The 21,998-nt window shown below is 35.1% G+C and overlaps 1 protein-coding gene across 123 annotated transcripts in view; it reads right to left on the reverse strand.

Annotated features, from left to right (window-relative positions):
* The window catches only part of UTY (ubiquitously transcribed tetratricopeptide repeat containing, Y-linked), a 246,776-nt gene that overhangs the window by 145,820 nt on the left and 78,958 nt on the right, over positions 1-21,998 (reverse strand). For 112 of the 123 annotated variants that reach the window (NR_174404.1, NR_047613.1, NR_047639.1 and 109 more), the window contains 2 exons: positions 17,204-17,258; positions 14,145-14,179 (listed from right to left, as the gene is read on the reverse strand). The exons of 1 other annotated variant lie outside the window; for it this stretch is intronic. Coding sequence is in view for 66 of the 122 variants with exons in the window: in XM_011531448.4 (XP_011529750.1) it covers positions 14,145-14,179; positions 17,204-17,258 (90 nt within the window). In the remaining 56 variants the exon portion in view is untranslated. Of the gene's footprint in view, positions 1-14,144; positions 14,180-17,203; positions 17,259-20,223; positions 20,338-21,998 lie in introns of all 123 variants that reach the window. 10 more of the 123 variants (NR_047627.1, NR_047602.1, NR_047634.1 and 7 more) reach the window with 2 other exon arrangements.

Genomic DNA, 21,998 nt, shown 5'->3' on the forward strand with positions numbered 1-21,998 from the left:
ATAATGAGGGAAAAAAAATTCTCCCAACCTAGCTATCCTGTCCTGTATCAACACGGGGAAAAAAATCTGAGAAGCACTATGAAGTTGACAGCTCAGAACAGACTCATTAAAGACTGAAATCTAAATCACAGACCTAAATACAAAGCTCCTCCTCCCCACCACAACTTACCACAACATTAAGGGGTGTGTGTGTGTGTGTGTGTGTGTGTGTGTATGTATGTGTATTTATATATATAGATGTGTGTATATAAATATATATATATACATCTAGTATATATATATATATACACACATCTATATATATATATATATAGATGTGTGTGTGTGTGTGTGTGTGTGTGTGTGTGTATATATATATATATATATATATATATATATATATATACACACACATCTAGTAACCAGGTGTGGATATCAAGAAAAAAAATAACCAAAAAGGCAAAAAAACACAGTTGGAAGAGATAGAGCAAGGATCAGAACCAAACTCAATTATGACACAGATGTTGCGAATATTAGACTAGGAATTTCAGTTAATTGTAATTAAGATCCTAAGAGATTTAACTGATAAAGCAGACAGCAGAAACAGGTAAAGACAGGAACTCCTAAGAACCAAAGAGAGATGCTAGAGATAGAAAATAATATAATAGAAAAGAAGAATACCTTTGAAGACTTACTGGTAAACTAGACAATACTGAGGAAAGAATCTCTCAGCTTGAGATTACCAACCGAAACTTCCTAAATTGAAAAATGAAGAAAAAATGTGAGAAAATGACAAAAAGTGTAAATTACCTATAACGGGAATTACAGAAAAAGAAACATAAAATATTTGAAACGAAAGTGAGAATATCCACAAATTAATCTCAGACACAAAACCACAGATGGCGAAAGCTCACAGAACACCAGGCAGAATAAATGCCGACACATTTATACATAGCATATCATTTTCAGACTATACAAAATCAAGATAAAGAAAAATACTGAAAGAAACTAGAAGGAAAAAAAATTAGACAGCAATGATAAATATTATCTATGTCTTCTCCTTAAAGCAAGAAGTGGAGTAAAATGTCTCTAATGTTTACAGGGGAAAAGAAAAAAAAAACACCAACCAGGGAGTTTATACCCTGATAAACTGTCCTTCCAAAATGAAGAACACAAAATGACCTACTCAGAAAAATAAAAAAGGAAAGCAGTTGATGCCAATATACCTGCTTTGTAAAGAATGCTAAAACAAATTATTAGAGAGAAGGAAAGCGACAATGGTCAGAAACTCAATATGCATAAAGAAAAGAAGAGCATCAAAAAAGGGGTAAGTGGAGGTAATATAAACACTTATAAAAATTCTTAGTTGATCTAACAAATTAACAGTTCATTTTAAAACAATATAAGTGAAATGAATGACAAGAATGATACAGGGAGAGGGAGGTAAAATTAGGATTATTTTATTATTCTAAAGTACTCTCACTACCAGTGAAGGGGTAATGAGCAATAGTGCTGCTTTATAGTGGACTTCTATTAGTGCACAATTAAGAGTTAAGTGACAGCCTGGGCGTGGTGGCTTACGCCTGTAATCCCAGTACTTTGAGAGACAGGGTGAGTGGATCACCTGAGCTGAGGAGTTTGAAACCATGATGAAACCCCGTCTCTACTAAAAATGCAAAAATTAGCAGGGCGTGGTGGCGCATGCCTGTAATCTTAGCTATTCAGGATGCTAAGGCAAGAGAATTGCCTGAACCCGGGAGGCGGAGGCTGCAGTGAGCAGAGATCACTCCATTGTACTCCAGCCTAGGCAACAAGAGTGAAACTCTGCTTTGGGTGGGGGAAAAAAAAGAGTAAGTGACAGTAAGACAGGAGTGAAAATGCAATCTTACATAATGCTCAGTTAAACCACAAAAAGTGGAAACAAGTCAGAGACAAAAATAGAAACAAAGAAAAAGGCAACAAACAAAACCAGCAGATACTAATCCAATTAAAGTCACATTCCACCTAACGACTTTTTCAGTAAATGACAGATTGTGTAAATTACAGTGGTCCCATACAGTTATAATGGACCTGAAAAATTCTTAACCCAGGTGGCATCAGAGCCATGTTAAAGTCTTAGTGCCGTGGAATACCTGTGTTTGTGGTGATGTCAGTGTAAATAAACTTACTGCACTGCCAGTTGCCTAGAAGTGCAGAATAGTATAACATATTCAGCAATGATAATAAATAACCATGTTACTGATTTATGTATTTACTATACTATTTATTGTTATTTTAGAGTATACTCTTCCTACTAATTAAAAAACCCACTTAAAATATTTTAAAAAATATTAAAAGTAGATGATATGAAAAGATAAAATATATGCTAATTGTAATTTTAAAAAAAGCAGGAAACACAGCAGACTTCAAGCCAAGCAACGTTTTCTGGGATAAAGAGCAGCATTACATAGTAACAAAGGAGTCCACTCTCCAAGAAGACATAACAATCCTTAACATTTATGCACCTAACAATGGATACATAAGGCAAAAAAAGGCAGACCACCAAGGAAACATAGAGGAATTCAGTAGCTGAGTAGGAGAATTTAATATCAATCAATAAAAACATAGAAACAGTGGATATCAAAATCAACAACACCATCAACCAACTGAATATATAGTCATCCCTTGATATTCATGGGGGATTGGTTCTAGTACCCCAGAAGATACCAAAATCCACACATACTAAAGCTCCACAAATTACCCTGTGTAACCAGGGTATGTAAGAGTCAACTCTCTGTATCCCTGGGTCTTCATCTCACAAACACTGCATTTTCAACCTCCATTTGTTTTTGGAAGTGTAGCCTGCAGCAGCAGGAGAATACACATTCTTCTTAAATTCAAATAAAACATTCACAAAGTCACAACACATTCTGCATCGTAAAATATACCTTAACAAATTTCAAAGAATAAGAAATTATACAACGTGTGGAGGGCAGCTTGAATCTACAAATCAGACTTAAACTAGAAGTCAATAAAATTAAAAGGACTAATCTTCAAAATAGTTCAAGATTAAATAGCACACTCCTATTAGCTTTAATCTAGGAATCGACAGATGTATAAACTAGAAGTCAATAAAAGTAAAAGGACTGGTTAATTTCCAAAATAGTTCAAGATTGAATAGCACACTCCTATTATAGCACGAGTAAAAAGATTTCTCAAGAAAATAAAACAACATTTTGAATTAAAGGAAAATAAAACTTATAAAAGTTTGTCGGATGGAGCAAAAGCAGTGCTTACAGTGGAATTTACAACACTGAATGCATATATCAAAAAAGAGGACATACTGGGCCGGGCGCAGTGGTTTATGCCTACAATCCCAGCACTTTCAGAGGCCAAGGCCGGACGATCAATTGAGGTCAGGAGTTTGAGACCAGCCTGGAAACTGTGTCTCTACTAAAAATGCAAAAATTAGCCAGGTGTGGTGGCAGGCACCTGTAATCCCAGGTACTTGGGAGGCTGAGGCAGGAGGATTGCTTCAGCCTGGGAGGTGGAGGTTGCAGTGAACTGAGATCATGCCAGTGCACTACAGCCTGGGTGACAGAGTGAGACTCTGTCAAAAAAAAAAAAAACAACCAAAAAACTGGCTGGGCGCAGTGGCTCATGCCTGTAATCCTCAGCACTTTGGGAGGCCAAGGCGGGTGGATTACGAGGTCAGGAGATCGAGAACATCCTGGCTGAAACAGTGAAACTGGGTCTCTACTAATACAAAAAATTAGCTGGGCATGGTGGCGGGTGCCTGTAGTACCTGCTACTTGGGAGGCTGATGTAGGAGAATGGCATGAACCCGAGAGGCAAAGCTTGCAGTGAGCTGAGATCATGCCACTGGCTGACAGAGCAAGACCCATCTCAAAAAAAAAAAAAAAAGGACTGAAAATCAGTCACTTATGCATACACCTTAAAAAATGTGAAGGAGCAAATTAGATATAAAAAAATTAAGCAATAAAAATTAGAACAGAATGCAATCAAACTGAAAACAGGAAATCAATAAAAAACAAGTCAATGAAACCAAACTAGTTCTGTGAAAAGATCCATACATCAATAATCCCCTACCTTTCAGGCTAATAAGAAAAGAAGACACAAATAACTCACTTCAGAAATGAAAGCGCAAATGTAGCTATTGATGCCAATGGACATTAAAAGATAATAAGAGAATGCAATAAAAAAAAGGCCAAAAAATCTAGAGGAAGTGAACCAACTTCTTGAGAGGCAATTTGCCAAAACTCACATAATCTGAATAAGTAGATATCAAGTAAAAAAAATTCAAGGCAATAATAAATAATCTTCTAAAAAAGAAGGCTCTAGGCCTACATCAGCTCACTGGTGAATTCTACCAACATTTAAGGGAAGAAACTACAATTCTCTACAATCTCTTTAAAGAGAAAGAAATAGAATACTTGCTAACTCATTTTACATGGCCAGTACTACTCTAAATCCAAAATCAGAAAGACATTTCAAGAAACAAAAACTACAAATCAAAATATCTTATAAATACGATACAAAAATGTTCAGCAAAATATTAGCAAATGAAATACAATAACCTGTTTTGCAATCCAACCAAGTGAGATTTATCCCTGATGTGCAGAGACAGTTTAATTGAAAATCAATTAATGTAATCCGTTAAATCAAAAGGCTTAGAAAAAAAATCACACGATGGCAGGCCAAGGGGATCACTGCAATCCCAGCACTATGGGAGGCTGAGGTGGGCAGATGGCTTGAGCTTAGGGGTTCAAGACCAGCCTGGGTAACATGGTGAAATCCTGACTCTACTAAAAATACAAAAATTAGCCAGGTGTGGTGGTGCATGCCTGTGCTCCCACCTACTCTGGAGGCTGAGGTGGGAGGATTGCTTGAGATTGGGAGGCAGAGGTTGCAGGGAGCTCAGATCGCACCTCTATACTCTAGCCTGGGCAACAGAGTGAGACCAAATCTCAAAAAATATTAATAGTTAAAAAACAAAAGGTTTACAAATTGGGAAGGAAGAAATAAAACTGCTCTCTCCATGGACAACATAAAATATGTAGACAATCTGAAGGAAGTGACAAAAAAACCCTCTTGAAATTAATAAGAGATTAACTCACAATTGCATGATCTAAGAGTAATACGAAGAAAGACAACTGTTTCTTTTTTTTGAGATGGAGTTTCACTCTTGCTACCCAGGCTGGAGTGGAATGGTGTAATCTTGGCTCACCGCAACCTCTGCCTCCCAGGTTCAAGTGATTCTCCGGCCTTGGCCTCCCGAGTAGTTGGGATAATAGGCAAGTGCCACCAACCTGGCTAATTTTTTTGTATTTTTAATAAAGACGGGGGTTTCTTCATGCTAGTCAGGCTCATGTCCAACTCCTGACCTCAGGTGATACCCGCCTTGGCCTCCCAAAATATTGAAATTACAGGCATGAGCCACTGTGCCCAGCCAACTGTTTCTTATATACCAGCAATGAACTAGTGGAATTTGGAATTAAAAACACAATACTCTTTACATAACATTCCCAAAATAAAGTAGGTATAAATCTAGGAAATATATACAAGATCTATATGAGGAAAATGACAACAATAAAAAAAAATGATGAAGATACCAAAGAAAAAATAGAGAAATATTCCTGGATGAGAAGACTCAATTCTAACAAGTTATTACACTTTGTAGATATAAACTGATATTAATGTTTACAGGAAGACATATATTTGTAGTACGTACTGCCTTAGAATATTGTACAATTTTCTTTTCTGTCTTGCTCTGTCTTCGAGACTGAAGGGCAGCGATCAAAGTTAACTATAATCTCCAACTCCTGGGCTCAAACAATGTGCCCACTTCAGCCTACTGAATATCTAGGAGAGAGGTGTGCACCCCTACACCTGGCTAATTTTTGTACTTTTTGCTATGTCGCCCAGTCTGGTCTTGAACTTTTGGCCTCAAAGAATTCTCTCATCCTAGCCCCCAAAGTGCTGAGACTACAGAAATGAACCACTGCATCTAGCTAAAAAAATTTTTTTCAAAACTTTTTGTAAAGACAGAGTCTTGCTATGTTACCCAAGCTGGTCTCATACTCCTGGCCTCAAGGGATCCTCTGACCTCAGCCTCTCAAAGCACTGGGATTACAGGTGTGAGCCACTAAGCCTGGCAATTCTTCTGTGTCTCAATCTCTGTTCACATAGAGCTCTCCAGAATAGATTTTTGTGAGCTATTTTAATTTCTCTAATAATGATTATTTCACCTTTGCCATTTCTTATGTTGTAGACACATGCAACTTCTTTTTCTTGAAGCAATTTTTGAAATGTTCTGTCTGCTTTTATTCACTGAGGGAAGAACATTAAGGCATACTTTCTAAAAGTTTCTTCATTATTAATTTCTGAAAGTCTATTTCATTTTTTTTTTTTTTTTTTTTTTTTTTGAGACAGAGTCTCGCTCTGTCGCCCAGGCTGGAGTGCAGTGGCGGGATCTCGGCTCACTGCAAGCTCCGCCTCCCGGGTTCACGCCATTCTCCTGCCTCAGCCTCCCAAGTAGCTGGGACTACAGGCGCCCGCCACTACGCCCGGCTAATTTTTTGTATTTTTAGTAGAGACGGGGTTTCACCGTTTTAGCCGGGATGGTCTCGATCTCCTGACCTCGTGATCCGCCCGCCTCGGCCTCCCAAAGTGCTGGGATTACAGGCGTGAGCCACCGCGCCCGGCCAAGTCTATTTCATTTATATCCCATTCCAAGTATTTTCTTATAATATCTTTATGTTCAGTTATACTTAAATTCATAGAATAAGACTATGTCTAACATAATATTCTTTTACATAAAAACTGGATCTGGCTTACCTCTGACAGAATTTTTGTGTCTGTCTATATGAATAAAATCTGTTTTTTTTGTACCAAAATTTAATACCAAAACTTTTGGTGCTAAAACTAATTCTAGTTTAGAATTAGTTTGGTGCTAAAACTAATTCTAAATTATGATTTACTTTAAGAAATAATGAAGGCTGGGAATGGTGGTTATTAATCCTGTAATCCCAGCACTTTGGGAGGCTGAGGTGGGCGGGCGGATCTATTTGAGGTTAGGAGTAGATCCTAACCAACGTCTGACCAACATGGCAAAACCCTGTATCTACAAAAATACAAAACTTAGCCGGGGATGGTGGCACATGCCTGTAATCCCATGTGCCTGCAATCCCAGCTGTTCTGGAGGGTGAGGCAGGAGAACTGCTTGAATATGGGAGGAGGAGGTTGCAGTGAGCTAAGACTGCGCCACTGCCCTCCAACCTGGGTGACAGAGCAAGACTCCGTCAAAATAAACTAACAAACATACATTTCATTCATGTTTAAAATGGCTTAAATGAAGAATTATTCACAGTAACATTATTTCTAATTTTCACAATTATTAATTAAACTGGTCAAAGTAGATCACTGACATACCATACAGCTCTACTTGTACTAATAGTAACTTACAAAACATAAGTTAAAAAAAAAACAACAAAAAAACTTCAGAGTCAGAGTATGCTCACAGGCTACATATAATTTGAATAAAGGAAAACAAAAACAAATTATACAAATACATGTGTGAATTTACCTAAACAAAAGAGTTTTGTACAATACTCAAATAACTATTAACACAGGTGGCTTTGGTAATAAATATAGTTAGAGGCAGAGGGAAGAAGAATTCACAGACCCTTTTTCTTTTCATTTTGTACAAACACATTCAAAATTATGCAGCATTATAGTAACAAAATGAATGTTAAAATATCACTAGTTTCTAAATCTGAAAGACTAGTCAGAAAAGGTTTTCCTTTTAAAATTTTTATATTAAATTTTAATTTCTGGCTGGGTGCAGTGGCTCATGCCTGCAATCCCAGCATTTTGAGAAGCTGAGGTGGGTGGATCACCTGAGGTCAAGAGTTTGAGGCCAGCCTGGCAAATGCGGTGAAATCCCTTCTCTACTAAAAATACAAAAATCAGCTGGGCATGGTGGCAGGCATCTATAATGCCAGCTACTAGGGAGGCTGAGGCAGGGGAATCACTCGACCCCGGGAGGCAGAGGTTGCAGTGAGCTGAGATCGCACCAATGCACTCCAGCCTGGGCAACAACAGTGAAACTCTGTCTTAACAACAATAAAAAATTTAATTTCTATGAATAAGACTGGAGCAGCAACTTGCCCACTCAAGTTTTCTACTTCTGGGTAAAATTTCATCATTTATGTTCTGCTAGGAAAAAGCTTCTAGATTTTCAAACTTGTTATATTTTTATACAATAGTTCTAAAATATCTTCTATTAACACATCTGTAACCCTGTAGCAAATTTCTCCAACACTACTTTTAACATTTTTCATTTTTTTCATCTGTGAGAAATATCCATTTGATCTTTTCAAGGATTCAACTTCTGGATTCATTTAGGTAATTTCTAAATACAAAACTAAAATAAAGTAGGCTTAAGGAGATTTACTATGTTAAAAACATGTACAAATAACACCAAAAGAAGTAACAATAGATGATGAAATGCTCCAGTTATCTTATCAAAATGAACAAAAAATATCCAAGAAGAAAACTAACATAGATGTTACTGCATGTTGCATGCAAATAGCATTTGTAGATACTTATGTTATACATGTGTCTTTAAACATTTCACAACATGCATTATAGTAAAGGTCAAATAACATTCCATTGTGTATATATTTAGATACACCCTCCCCTGTTTTCTTCATCCATTCATCTTTCAATGGCCATGTAGTTTGTTTCTTGGCTACTGCAAATAATACTACAATTAGTATGAAGTGCAGACAGATGCTGATGTTGTTTCCTTTGGATATATACGAAGTGAATGGCTGGATTATATGGTAGCTCTATTTTTAATTTTTTAAGTAACCTTCATCTGTTTTCCATAATGGCTGTACCAATTTATATCCCCCACCAGGACTGTATGGTTTGTTCTCTTTTCTCCACATCCTCAGTATCACTTTTAACTTTTTGATTAACATCCACTGATGTAGTTAGGCTTTGTGCCCCCACCCAAATCTCATCTTCAATTGTAATCTCCACAAATACCCACGTGTCAAGGGAGACCAGGTGCATGGGGGTGGTTTCCTCCATGCTGTTCTTGTGATAGTGAGTTCTCACAAGATCTAATGATTTTATTGGGCTCTTCCGTCTCTGCTTGACAATTCTCCTGCCGCCTTGTGAAGAAGTGCCTTGCTTTCCCTCACCTTCTGCCATGATTCTAAGTTTCCAGAGGCCTTCCAGCCATGTAGTACTGTGAGTCAATTAAACCTCTTTCTAAATTTCCCAGTCTTGGGTATGTCTTTATCAGCAGTATGAAAACTGACTAATAAAGCCATCCTAAGATATGAGGTGATATTTCATGATGGATTTGATTTGAAATTCCCTGATTAGTTCTACTAAGCAGTGTGTCATATACCTGTTGACCATTACTATACTTTCTTTGGAAAAATGTCTATCCAGGTCCTTTTGCCCACTTTTACTTGTAGGTTACTTTTTGGTTACTAAGTAATATGAGTTTTGGAGATATTTGGGGTATTAACCCTTATTGGAATTTATGGTTGGCAAGTACCATCTCCCAAACTCCCAGGATGCTTTTAACTTTGTTGATTGCTTTCTTTGCTGTATACAAGCTTTTCAGTTTGATGCAATCCACCTATTTTTGCTTTTATTACCTATGTCTTTAGTGCCACATCCAGAAAAATCACTGCTAAGATCAATGTCATGCAGCTTTCCCTGCTCTTTTCTTCTATTATGGTTTTAAGTCTTATGTTTATAAGTCCTCAATTCATTTTGAGTTGCTTTTTGTGTATGATGTAAGATAAAAATCTAATTCCATTTTTATATATGTGGATGTCCAGTTTTCCCCAAAAAAGACTATCCTTTTCCACTGTATTTTCTTGGATCCTTTGTCAAATACCAGCTGACCCTATCTATGTGGGGTTTTCTTCCAGGCTTTGTATAAAGTACCATTGTTCTATGTATTTTTTTACATACCAGTCACTATCTTACCATTTTCATTACTGTCGCTTTGTAACGTACTCTGAAATTAGGAAGTGTAATGGCCCAGCCTTGTTTATCTTGTCCAAGATTCCTTTAGTTCTTCAGGGTGTCTTTTGATTCCACACAAATTTTACAATAGTTTTTTGTATTTCTGTGCAAATGCCATTGGAATTGTGAGACATCACTTAGTGTAGTATGCACATTATGATAAATACTGATTCTTCTAATCCATGAACGTGGAGAGACCTTGCTATTTATTTCTGTCATCTTCAGCTTCCTTCACGGATGTTTAACATATTTCAGGCTACAGATCTTTCCATTTCTTTTGGGGATGATTCATTATTAACACATACAAATACTATGATATCTGTATGTTAATTTTGTATCCTGAAGCTTTAATAAATTTGTTTTTTTCTTTTTGGTTCTAATAATTTTTCCTGGAGGTGTTAATTAGGTTTTTTTTTCATCTATATGATCATGACTTCTGCAAACCAAGACTTCTTTTCCTTTTTCTTCCCAATAAGTATTTCTCTATCTCTTCATCATAACTAACTGCTCTGGCTAGGACTTCTAGTACTATGTGGAACAGGAGTACTAAAAGTGAGCATCCTTGTCTTGCTCCTGATTTTAGTGAAAAAGCTTTCCATTATCCCCAATAGAGTATGATGTTAACTACAGATCTGTGATATATGGCCTTAATTATATTGAGATACATTCCTTATGTAATACATTGAGAATTTTTATCATGAGACAACATTGAGTTTTTGTCAAATGCTTTTAATCCAGCCACTGAGATAATCATATAATCATCTGTCTTTTATGTTTATGTAGTATATCACACTGATTAGTTTGCAATGTTTGCATGATCATTACATCCTATGGATAATTCCCTCTTGATCATAGTATGTTAGCCTTTCAATGTGTAACTGAATTTTATTTTTTAGTACTTTTATCTCGTTAGTATTTTTGCTGGTATTTTGTTAAGAACTTACACTGATTTTAGCAATTAATGTAATCATCATAACAACACAGTAAGGGTAAACCTTATGTTTATCCAAAAAGCTACAAAGCCTATTTAACTGGCTACTGAAAGATTAAGAAAAAGAAAAGCTCAGCAAATTTAAGAAAATGTAATTATCAGGTGACAGAAGATACTAAAAGTATATGAGAAAACGTAGTTGACAGTCTTTCATTCACGGGTTAAAAATTAGGAAAACCAAAAGAACCTACATATGTACTCACACAATACTACATTTTATATTTCAGCCTACTTATGGAAGACAAATGCTTGTAACAGAATTTTTTAAATGAGGAGGACATTCCTATATTAACAAGGTATCACTGAGATAAAGAATTCCACTGAATATGTCCACTAACATGAAGTTACCATATGAAAGCACACTACCCATTTTTCCACTTCTGAGAAGACTCTACTCAGTTTACATTTCATGTCCCCACTCTATTTTACTGACCACTACTACACAAACAGGTATAGTCTAATTTTTAAAGATTCAAATATAAAAATTCTGTAACTTCAGTGATTACTCACTGAATAATTTTTTATATTTGTATCTTTAAAAATTACACTGTCATTTAAAATTCATACATTTCTTTCCTTTGATACAAATTGAGATTATTTTAATATCTTCAACTGTACAAACAATACTAATAGGTAGAATGCATTTAAAATTAGTTCCTCCGTATCACGTGATATGTGTCCGCACCCAAATCTCACCTTGAATTGTAGTTCCCATAATCCCCATGTACCATGGGAGGGACCCAGTGGGAGATATTAATAATTTAATAATGGGGGCAGTTACCCTCATGCTATTCTCATGATACTGAGTTCTCACAAGATCTGGTGGTTTTATACAGGACTTTTTCCCCACTGCTCACCATTTCTCCTTCCTGTCACCATGTAAAAGAAGGATGTGTTTGTTTCTCCTTCCACCATGACTGTAAGTTTCTTGAGGCCTCCCCAGCCATGCTGAATTCTGAGTCAATTAAACCTCTTTCCTTCATAAATTACCTAGTTTTGCGGATGTCTTTATTAGCAGCATGAGAATAGACTAACACATCAGGCATGTTTAATGTTAGAATCAAACACAGTTTCAAGATATTTTACTGTCAAGTATAATTTTCACCAGCTCTTCTCATTTATTGGGGTCATAAAAAATTATCTAACTGGGGCCAAGCACAGTGGCTCACACCTGTAATCCCAGCACTTTGTGAGGCTGAAGCGTGAGGATCACTTTGTCCCTGGTGTTTTGAGATCAGCTTTAAAAACACAGCAAGACCCTATCTGTAATAAAAATTAAAATAAACTGGCTTGGAATGCTAGCAGTCCTAGTTACTCCAGGGGCTGAAGAGGGAGGATGGCTTGAGCCCAGGAGTTCAAGGCTGCAGTAAACTAAAATTGTCCCCTTAATGCACTCCAGCTTGGGCAACAAGGGACACCTGGTCTCTTAAAAAATAAAATAATAAAATTACTTTTCCTATATCAAAAGACTAAGAAAATGTTTTTAAAAGAGCAACAACATAATACATGAAAAAAAGACATACCCAAAACGTGGAATGGCAGGTTATGAATTTTTATTCATGACACTCATGTAAAAAGATGGGCAATTCTTAACCCATTTATGCCTAGTGTTCCACTATTGGAACGCTAAGCATGCGGGGGTTACTTATATCCTATTGCTTAAGGTCATCGCCAAGGTACGACTGCAAAAATTCAAAAAATTGCAACCTCCAGCATAAATGGATTTAAATGCATTTTGTAAAACAAAATCAATCCCTAGGTTATAATATCCCAACCTGAAGGTATATCAACTTTGATTCAATGAATCTCTAAGGCCACCGTGTGTACCTTGTGGAGCACAGGGAGAAGTGAAGTAGAGAAACAAACAGATAATTCTTAAAAACTTCCCATGAAGCTTGTCACAGATGAGTTAAAGAACCAGCCAGTTAAATGTTCTATATCTTACTACATCTCATAGTAATATGAAAAATGGAAAATACCAGCATCTTTCCTGTCTTGGATAAAATTCTGCATCAAATCTACTTCTCTACATCACTATTTTCTACTTGTACTAGAAACATAAGGGTAGACCTAAAAAATTACATATGTGTGTAATAAGCTTCCCCCACCATGAAATTCTGTTTGTTTTTTTCTCCTTAAGACAGGGTCTCACTCTGCCGCAGAAGCTGGAGTGCAGTATCACACCACACTGCAGCCTCTGACTCTTCAAGCAGACTTTCAGTCTCAGCTCTGAAAGTAGCTGCAACTACAGGCACATGCCACTACACTTGGCTAACTACTAATTGTAGAGACCAGTCTCACTATGCCCAGGCTGGTCTCAAACTCCTGGGCTAAAGAGGTATTCCTGCATCAGCCTCTCAAAATGCTGCAATTAAGACATGAGCCACCATGCCCAACATGGTTATTAAATCTCTCTTTATTTCACAATTTAAATTCAAAATGTTCAGCTACTCATAATATGAAAAAATGCTACCCATTTTTTTAAGTCTACCAACTCCACCACAAACTGTAAATCTGTATGTTACAGTTTAAATATTATAATAAAATCTGCTATACAAAGCAAAATATTTTTTTAAAAAGCTGAAATAACTTTAAAAACAAACAGCCTTGAACTAATGGTAACTATCATTTGAAATGGTATGATGCTTAAAAGATACCTCAGTCTTAAAGAAAAACAGAAAACTTCAATAACAGTGACTTATTACAATCATTCATGAAAATTTTAAAAGAAAAGTAGACATTACATGCAGGGTTACATGAAAGCTTCTAAATAAAGGTATAGAGGCAAATTACATTAAGTCAAAGCACTGCATACATAGCAAGTATTGTATTTAGGAAATAAAATACACAGTTTAAGGTAGTTACACAAACTGCTATATATATATATATTAAGTACAAATCTCAAATGCCTTCATTTGTCTTTAACAATTTGTTCACTAAAAATTTCAAACACATTTAATGAGGAGTAGAATACAAAATACATGCAAGAGTATAATACCCACAACTCAAATCGTCTAATATATTTATTTCATTTAAAGCCTGATATTTTCAAGTACATTTCATTTCATCTAAAGCATAGGTGACTGTTTCATTCTTGTTCTTAAGTTAAAACACTTACCTGGGTTTCATACAAATGGGCAATATGAAATTGAACTGCAATGGATCATGGGAAAAGATCAGTTACAATACAGTCTAATGTAATAAAGTAACAAAAAGTAGGGATAATATAAAATGTCAGACATACGCAAATGCTAAAACTATGGAACATACATTTGACTACGGGTGCAACTTCTGTTTTAAACAGAATGCAAAATTAACAAACAAAATGCAATTAAACCTAACAAAGATCATGCCAAGAAAAACAATCAATATAAAAGATTAAGTAATATTGTAACAAATTTATTAATAACTCTAATAATCATTAAAATCTGCAATAGGTAAGTATATGTCATAAAAAGTTCTTAATCAGAGTATTAAGGAAACACAAGCATTTAAGTTTACATATCTTGACAAATGGTATTCAAAATTTTACGTTAAAAACATAATATTTACTCTGTAATCAAGGAATGTTTTTCAGTGTGTATGCTTTTTCTTTATAGTCAATCTTTTATTAACAACTTTTTTTAAGTTATAGATCAAATACTAGTAACAATTTGATGTTTCATTCTTCAGAAATAGATCACTGTGGTCAAGAACAAACACAAATGGTCAAACTACCTGAAGAGCAAGACTTCAAAATAATTTATTTGAAGATTCAAATAAGGCAGAATATTTGGCTTCTTTTTGCAGCCCTTCTTGATGCCCAATTCCCCATCATCAGAGCACACAACAAAATCACAACGGATAATTACAAGTCCAACTATTTGTATTTTATAGTTTTTATTCATCCATGATAAACACCTTTTCTTGTTTTGTTTTAGGATATATTTTTTAAAACTTTCAAAATTATAAACAGAATACTTATATTTTTAAAGAAAAGTCCCATAGCAATCATGAAATTCTGACATCCCTTTGTCTCTCCTCCCTTCCGAATCTTCCCTCCTTGCTTCTCCTCACTCATTTCTCTCAATGTCCTAAACATAAATTATACCTGGGAGGGTTGATACAATTACCAAATCCTAGCTAAACTCTTTCAGATTTTGGTTTAGTGAACCTCTGTAAATGTCTGGAAAGCAGCCCCTTTAATATGCTCCACAGCTTTCCAGTAAGTTCCCCCATATCTAACATTGGAGAATAATGCATTAGATAACCATAAATTCCTTTCCATAAGAGAAAAATTACTCCAAAATTTTGTAATTAACTAAAATCAAACAAACTTTCTGAAACTAAGTTATTGCTTTATAAAAATAGACAAATAGAAAAAGTTAAGTAATGAGCCATAAAGTAAAAGAAAAATCTTTTTGTGTGATTTCAAGATAATAACCTCTCCCTCAAAAAAACAAAAGCAACAAAAGAAAAAAGTCATATATATGTACACACACCCACAGGTTGAGAGGTTTTCTTCATCTTCCCTCCCCTTTTCAAACAGAGTTTTCCTTACCACATAACATCTAGTGAATCAAAATCTCACATCTCTGAATTGCTGGAAAGAAACTGGATGACAGATTAAGAAGGAAAAAGTACCAGTGCAGTGGCTTGTGACTGTAGTCCTAGTGCTTTGGGAGGCCCTGAGCCTAGGAGTTCAAGAACAGCCTGAACAACATGGCAAAACCCCATCTCCACAAAAAATACAAAAAATAAAAATAAAAATATTAGCCAGGCATTGCATGCGCCTTAAAGTTCCAGCTACTTGGGAGGCTAAAATAGGAGGATCACTTGAGCCTGGGAGATAAAGGCTTCAGTGAGCCATGGTTGCACCAAATGCACTCAGCCTGGTGAACAAAGTGAGACCCTGTCTCAAAAGATAAAACAAAATTAAAACACACACACACACACACACACACACACACACAGCAAAGAGAAAACCAAAAACTATGTCCCATATCCCCCATATCTGTACCCACCAAATACAGATAATAGAAAAGATTAGTGCTAACTGGCATCCTAATACTATCTGAACTTAAAATGCAAATTTAGGCTGGAGTCCCAGGCTCTGACCTCACCATCCCATAAAATACAACATCATCTTTTGTGGGATAAAAATCTCTACCTTTCATCCTTCTGTTTTTTTTTTTTTTTTTTTTTTTTTAAGACAGTGTCTTGCTTTGTCACCCTGGCATGTAGTGGCACAAACTCGCCTCACTGCAATGTCCGCCTCCCGGGTTCAGGCAATTCTCCTGCCTCAGCCTCCTGAGTAGCTGGGATTTCAATCAAGTGTGCACCACTGCACCTGACTAATTTTTGTATTTTTAGTAGAGATGGGGTTTTCACCATGTTGGCCAGGCTGGTCTCAAACTACTGACCTTAGGTGATCAACCCACCTCGGCCTCCCAAAGTGTTGGGATTACAGGTGTGAGCCACTGCTCCCAGCCCATGTTTCATTCTTATCTATACATTAAAAGGGAGTGTAATTATATAACTAGGTATACTCAGTATGGCAATATTCAATTATAGACTCAAATAGGTAAAAAATTGACATAAAAGGTCTTTAATATTCTAACATTTTTATCACAAAGGAAAATCACATAATTTAAAGTTTCATATTCTTTTTAAACATGTTTTTTTCCCAAAATATTAACTGTAGTCATTCATCTGAAAGAGTTCAAAAAACAGTATTTATTTTTTAAACTACACATTTTTAACTTATTCAGGTTTTGTTTAAAATTGGCTTTGAAAACTTTTGATTTTTGCAACATCACCAAGTACACAAAAAAGTTTCAAAAAATAGTCAAGCTTACGGTATGTGCAAATCCTAAAATATTAAAAGGTGAAGTAATTCATTAATATGAAAACATAGACACCATAAAGGGAGAAAAACTACTAAAGTAGGTAATCACTATTTGTTAGTGCTCTGTGACATACCAATCATTTCTACAGTTATCAAATAATAATACTGACTGTCTTTGAGCAAGAAAAATAGTACCCAAATCAACTCAACTCCAGTGATTTAAACTCTCTGAATCAGGCACATGCCTTCTCACTTCTCTTCTCAAGAATGAACAGAAACAAAGGTATCAGTAGAAAAAAAGGTATCATTAATATTCTTTACTCAAAAGTATTTCATTTAAAAATACTTACTTTCAGCATTGGACAAAGTACATGGATTACAGTCAATCAAGGCTAACTGAAAATGCTGCAAGAGAAAAGTAAAAATATTAATGCACTAAATTAAGAGTGCATAAAAGTACATTTTCTATTTTAGCCTTTCAATGTCTATCATAAAATAACAAAGCTATGCTATACACCAATGCACTACACTCGACCAAATAAAATTACTGTAATTCCAAATTTATTTTGAAAATGTAAGTGCTAATCAAGTTATTTCCCTGAGATAGTTAAGAATGGAGGCTGTATGGAAGAATTTACTATATTTATATTTTTGTTTTATTAAAAAACTTCAGATATTTGAGTCTTCCAGTAAACAAAATATTAAGGTATAAAATTAGACATGCACTTCATTATTTTAAAATCTGGAAAATACAATTATATTTTCAGAACATTATAGCTTATCTTGAGACTTGAACTTTAGAAAGTAACTTAGATAATATGAGAATTAACATAAAGAATAAAACATACCTGGTTTTAATGGTTCTTCAATGTCACTGTACTTCAGAACATTTAAAACCTGTATGTACAACCTACTTATACACATCAAGTAACCTATTTTCAAATTCACATGTGAAATGTAGTTGTTCTTTGCTGATAAATTTTTTTTTCATTTATTGACAAAAGAAGAAATTGGACCTCAAGCACTGAAAGCGGTGCTTTTAAACATATTTAAAACAGGGTGCTAAACATTTTAAATGTATGTAAATTGTGTGTATAAAATATATAATCATTCATGAAATATTAAAACACTTATATTTCTACTCTAAATATATCATATAAGCCTATGCAGAATGCAAACCAACTTCTAATTCACTGTCTACCGATAGAATAACTGTTAAAATCATACAGTAACATTTGATGTTTATCGTCTATGAACTACTTAACTAAAGATAATAGGTCCTAAAACTCTTTTAAATAAAAAATGCATACATCTCTTTCAAACATTCTACAAACTATTCCCATAAATATTCAATTTTCAGAGCCTCCACTACCTTTCAAAAATAATCAACCATGATACCAACAAAGAACAAGTTACTTTAAAAGTAAACTACAAAAAGATCATCATCTACAATGAAAGTATTAAAACTGTACTAAAAATACTAATATTTAATGTTTAAAATGACACTATACATAGAACATAAGTTCTTTGTAAAAATAAATTATATTCAACAACCTTTAAAAACTAAGTTTCAGGGGAAAAATCAATGTGGGAATCACTGAGAACCTAAATATGCCGAGTCAGGTTGAGAACTGCCAATTAACAAAGAACAAAATTAATGTTTGCTACATGATACTACAATCAAAGAATGATCACAAATAGCATCATGAGAGTGAACACTTTAGCTAGTAGACATAGGCTTGGCATCTGTGTTATAATATTTAAGTTGGGCTTTTCAGCAAATGGTGTTTGAAAAACTAAGTATCTGTATGAAAGTAAAGTTGGGCCTGTTACGTCATATGCAAAAGTTAGCTTAAAATGGATCAGAGACGTAAACTTAAGGGCTAAAACTATTAAAGTCTTAGAACAATAAGCAGGAAAAACCTTTAAGACATTGAATTTGGCAGTGATTTCTTGGACATGACGCCAGACGACACAGGTAACAAAAAAACAGATTTACTTAGCTTCACCAAAATTAAAAACTTTTGTACATGAATGAACCACAATCAAGATACTGCAAAGAAAAAAAACTTGTAAATTATAAACTTAACAAGGACTTAAAATATAGAATATAAAATATGTTACAAAAAGACCCAAAAATTTAAAATAGGCAAAGGACTTGAACAGTCATCTCCAATAATATGAATGGCCAATAAATACATGAAAAGATGCTCAAAATTATTAGCTATTAAGAGAAATACAACTCAAAACCACAATGTGGTATCACTTCACTCCCATTAGGACAGGTACTATGAAGCAAACAAACACAAATGAAAAAGATTTTTTTCTTTTTCTTTTTTTTCATTTATTGGCAAAGTGGTGAAGAAATTGGACCTCGAGCACTGAAAACAGGGACTCAATCTCTGTGTACACCAATGTTCAAGGTAGCATTACTACAGGAGCCAAAATGGAATAACACAAATGTTCACCACAGATTAAAGGATTAAGAAAATGTGGTTTAACTACAGAATAGAATATTATTCAGCCATATTCATCCCAAAGGAATGGGAAGCTTCTGCCAGGGAGTTTGAGGCTGCAGTGAGCTCAGATCACACCACTGTTCTCCAGCTTTGGTGACAGAGTGAGACCCTGTCTCAAAAAAATACAGAAAATAAAAAGGAATTCTGAAACACGTCACAACATTGATGAATACCTGAAATATGCCAAGTGAAATAAGCCAGATAAAGAACGACAAATATTGTACAAGTCCATTTATATAAGATATGCAGACTTCTACTGAGAGCCAGAAAGTAGAATAAAGGAACTCCCGGGTACTTGCAGGAAAAGAGAATGGCAAAGTATTGATTTATGGGTAAAAAATTTTTGTATGGGATAATGTAAAGTTCTGAAAACAAAGAGTGGTAATGGTTAAACTGCATTGTAATTAATGCCACTGAAATGTATACTAAAATGGCTACTTTATGTATATCTTCCCATAATAGCAACCAAATGAAGACAAAACCTAAAAATATCAAGGCTTCATTTAACTTATGAAGTTACTATTTAACTTCGTTTACTGCTTGAAACACATTCTGAAATTGGTAAATTACTCATAATACAAAAAGGCTTTTAATTATAAATACTTCATCAATCACTAATGAGAGACAATAACGCATGAAGGGGTTTAGAATATGTCACCCCAAAATAGGCGATTCTGACATAAAGATTATTTTGAGCCACAGGCAAATAAGAAACAGGTACAACAGAACTCCCTATCCTCCTTTCTACTTGAAAGGACAGGGTGATTCTTAATTTCTGAAGACAACTCTATATTCTTACAAGCCTAAAGGCAGCACAGAATTAATCTATATAACTTCTGCCAAATATTTACCTTTCCACAATTTGCTTCCCATGGCAACTTCAAGTCCTTCCCTTTGTCTTGTCATTTCTCTATAAATTTACTGTTCCTTTGGTTACATCTCACGGCAGCCCATATTGTACACTCCTGAGTTACTCACAGAAAGAAAATAAAACTTCAGGACCCTCTAAATTTATCATGCCAAGGGGGAAGTTAAACCCTAGAAACTGAATCACACAGAATGTGTGCAATTCTCTTTCTTACAGTTTCTTAGATAATAGCTCCTGCTCATTGATCTTGTTCAGTAAATAACTAGGAGACACCAGACATTCCCCATTCCAATCACTGATCTTTGGGATTAATTGTCCTTTTATTGGCCTAATTCAGACTGGATGGTGCCGAAGACCCCATGACAGTTACATCTTTAGTGTGAAATGTTGAGTATACCTTTCCTGAAACAAAAAGACTACCTCAACAAATCAGATTTTTGTTAACTCTGCAATAAGCCTTATATAGAAAGCTTTGTCTGTATAAGTGACTCCAAACTTCTACACTTTGGAAAACTAACTTCCTTTCTATGGAATCTGTGTTTGCAGGGACCTTAGCTTTGCAGTTGAATAAACTCTTCTTAAACATTATACTGACCTTTTTGAATACTTAGGTTGACATTCATCGCAAAGTTCTCCAGTGTATAATGTGTAATGCACACATTAATAAATTTGTTTATTTTTCTCTTGTTAGTTTTTCTGTCAGTCTAATATGCGGGGACCCAACTAACGAACCTAAAAATAAATGAAGGCTAAAGTTTTTCTTTTCATATAAGATCAAAACAATTGCAGACACTGGAAATAAAAAGCTAAAAAAAAAAAAACTGGACTGTATCAATGTCAATTTCCTAGATGTTAACCTTTGAGAAAAACTGATGGGTATAGGATCTTTGTTTGTATTACCTTTTATAATGATACATACATACTTTTGAAATAAAAAATAATAAAAGAAAACTGGGAAATAAAAAGCTTATTTCCTGAGGAAAAACCCAACATTTGAACACTGTGAACATTGCTTTTATTTTCCCTTAGTGCTATAGTTTGAATATTCCATTCAAAATTCATGTTGAAATTTAATTGGCACTGTGACATTAAGAGTAGAGATCTTTAAGAGGTGATTAGATCATAAGGGCTCTCTCTCATGAACAGATTAATGCTGTCATCAGAAGAGTGGGTTCCTTAGAAAAAGGGTGAGTTTCACCTGGTATCTTTCTATCTTGCTTGTAATGTGACGCCTTCCACCATGTTCTGACACAGCAAGAAGGCTCTCTTCAGACATGGTCCCAAGATCTAGGACTTCCTGGCCTCTAGAACTTCATGTCAAATAAATCTCTTTATAAATTACCCAGTCTCTAGTACTCTATTGCAGGGGCAGAAATGAACTAAGATATTTGGTTTGCAAACCGGAGTATGCTAACAGAGCAAGACAATACAGACTATTTTTTAAGTATATGAAGTATTGGAAGTACAGCATACTTACTCTCCTCAACACAAAAAGGGAAGCATAATAGCCACACTTCAGACTATACTATATTTTTAAGTAAAATCTGTCTTGAAACCATATTATTAAATATATGAGAACACAGGCCTTTCCTAAACAAGTCACTACAGGATAGAAACTGGCCTGAAAAGAAAATAACTTGACCAGGTGCAGTGGCTCACTCCTGTAATCCCAGCACTTTGGGAGGCCAAGGTGGGTGGATCACCTGAGGTCAGGAGTTCAGGACCAGCCTGACCAATATGGTGAAGCCCCGTCTCTAC

This window comes from Homo sapiens, chromosome Y, assembly GCF_000001405.40.
Source record: "Homo sapiens chromosome Y, GRCh38.p14 Primary Assembly".
Lineage (NCBI taxonomy): Eukaryota > Metazoa > Chordata > Mammalia > Primates > Hominidae > Homo > Homo sapiens.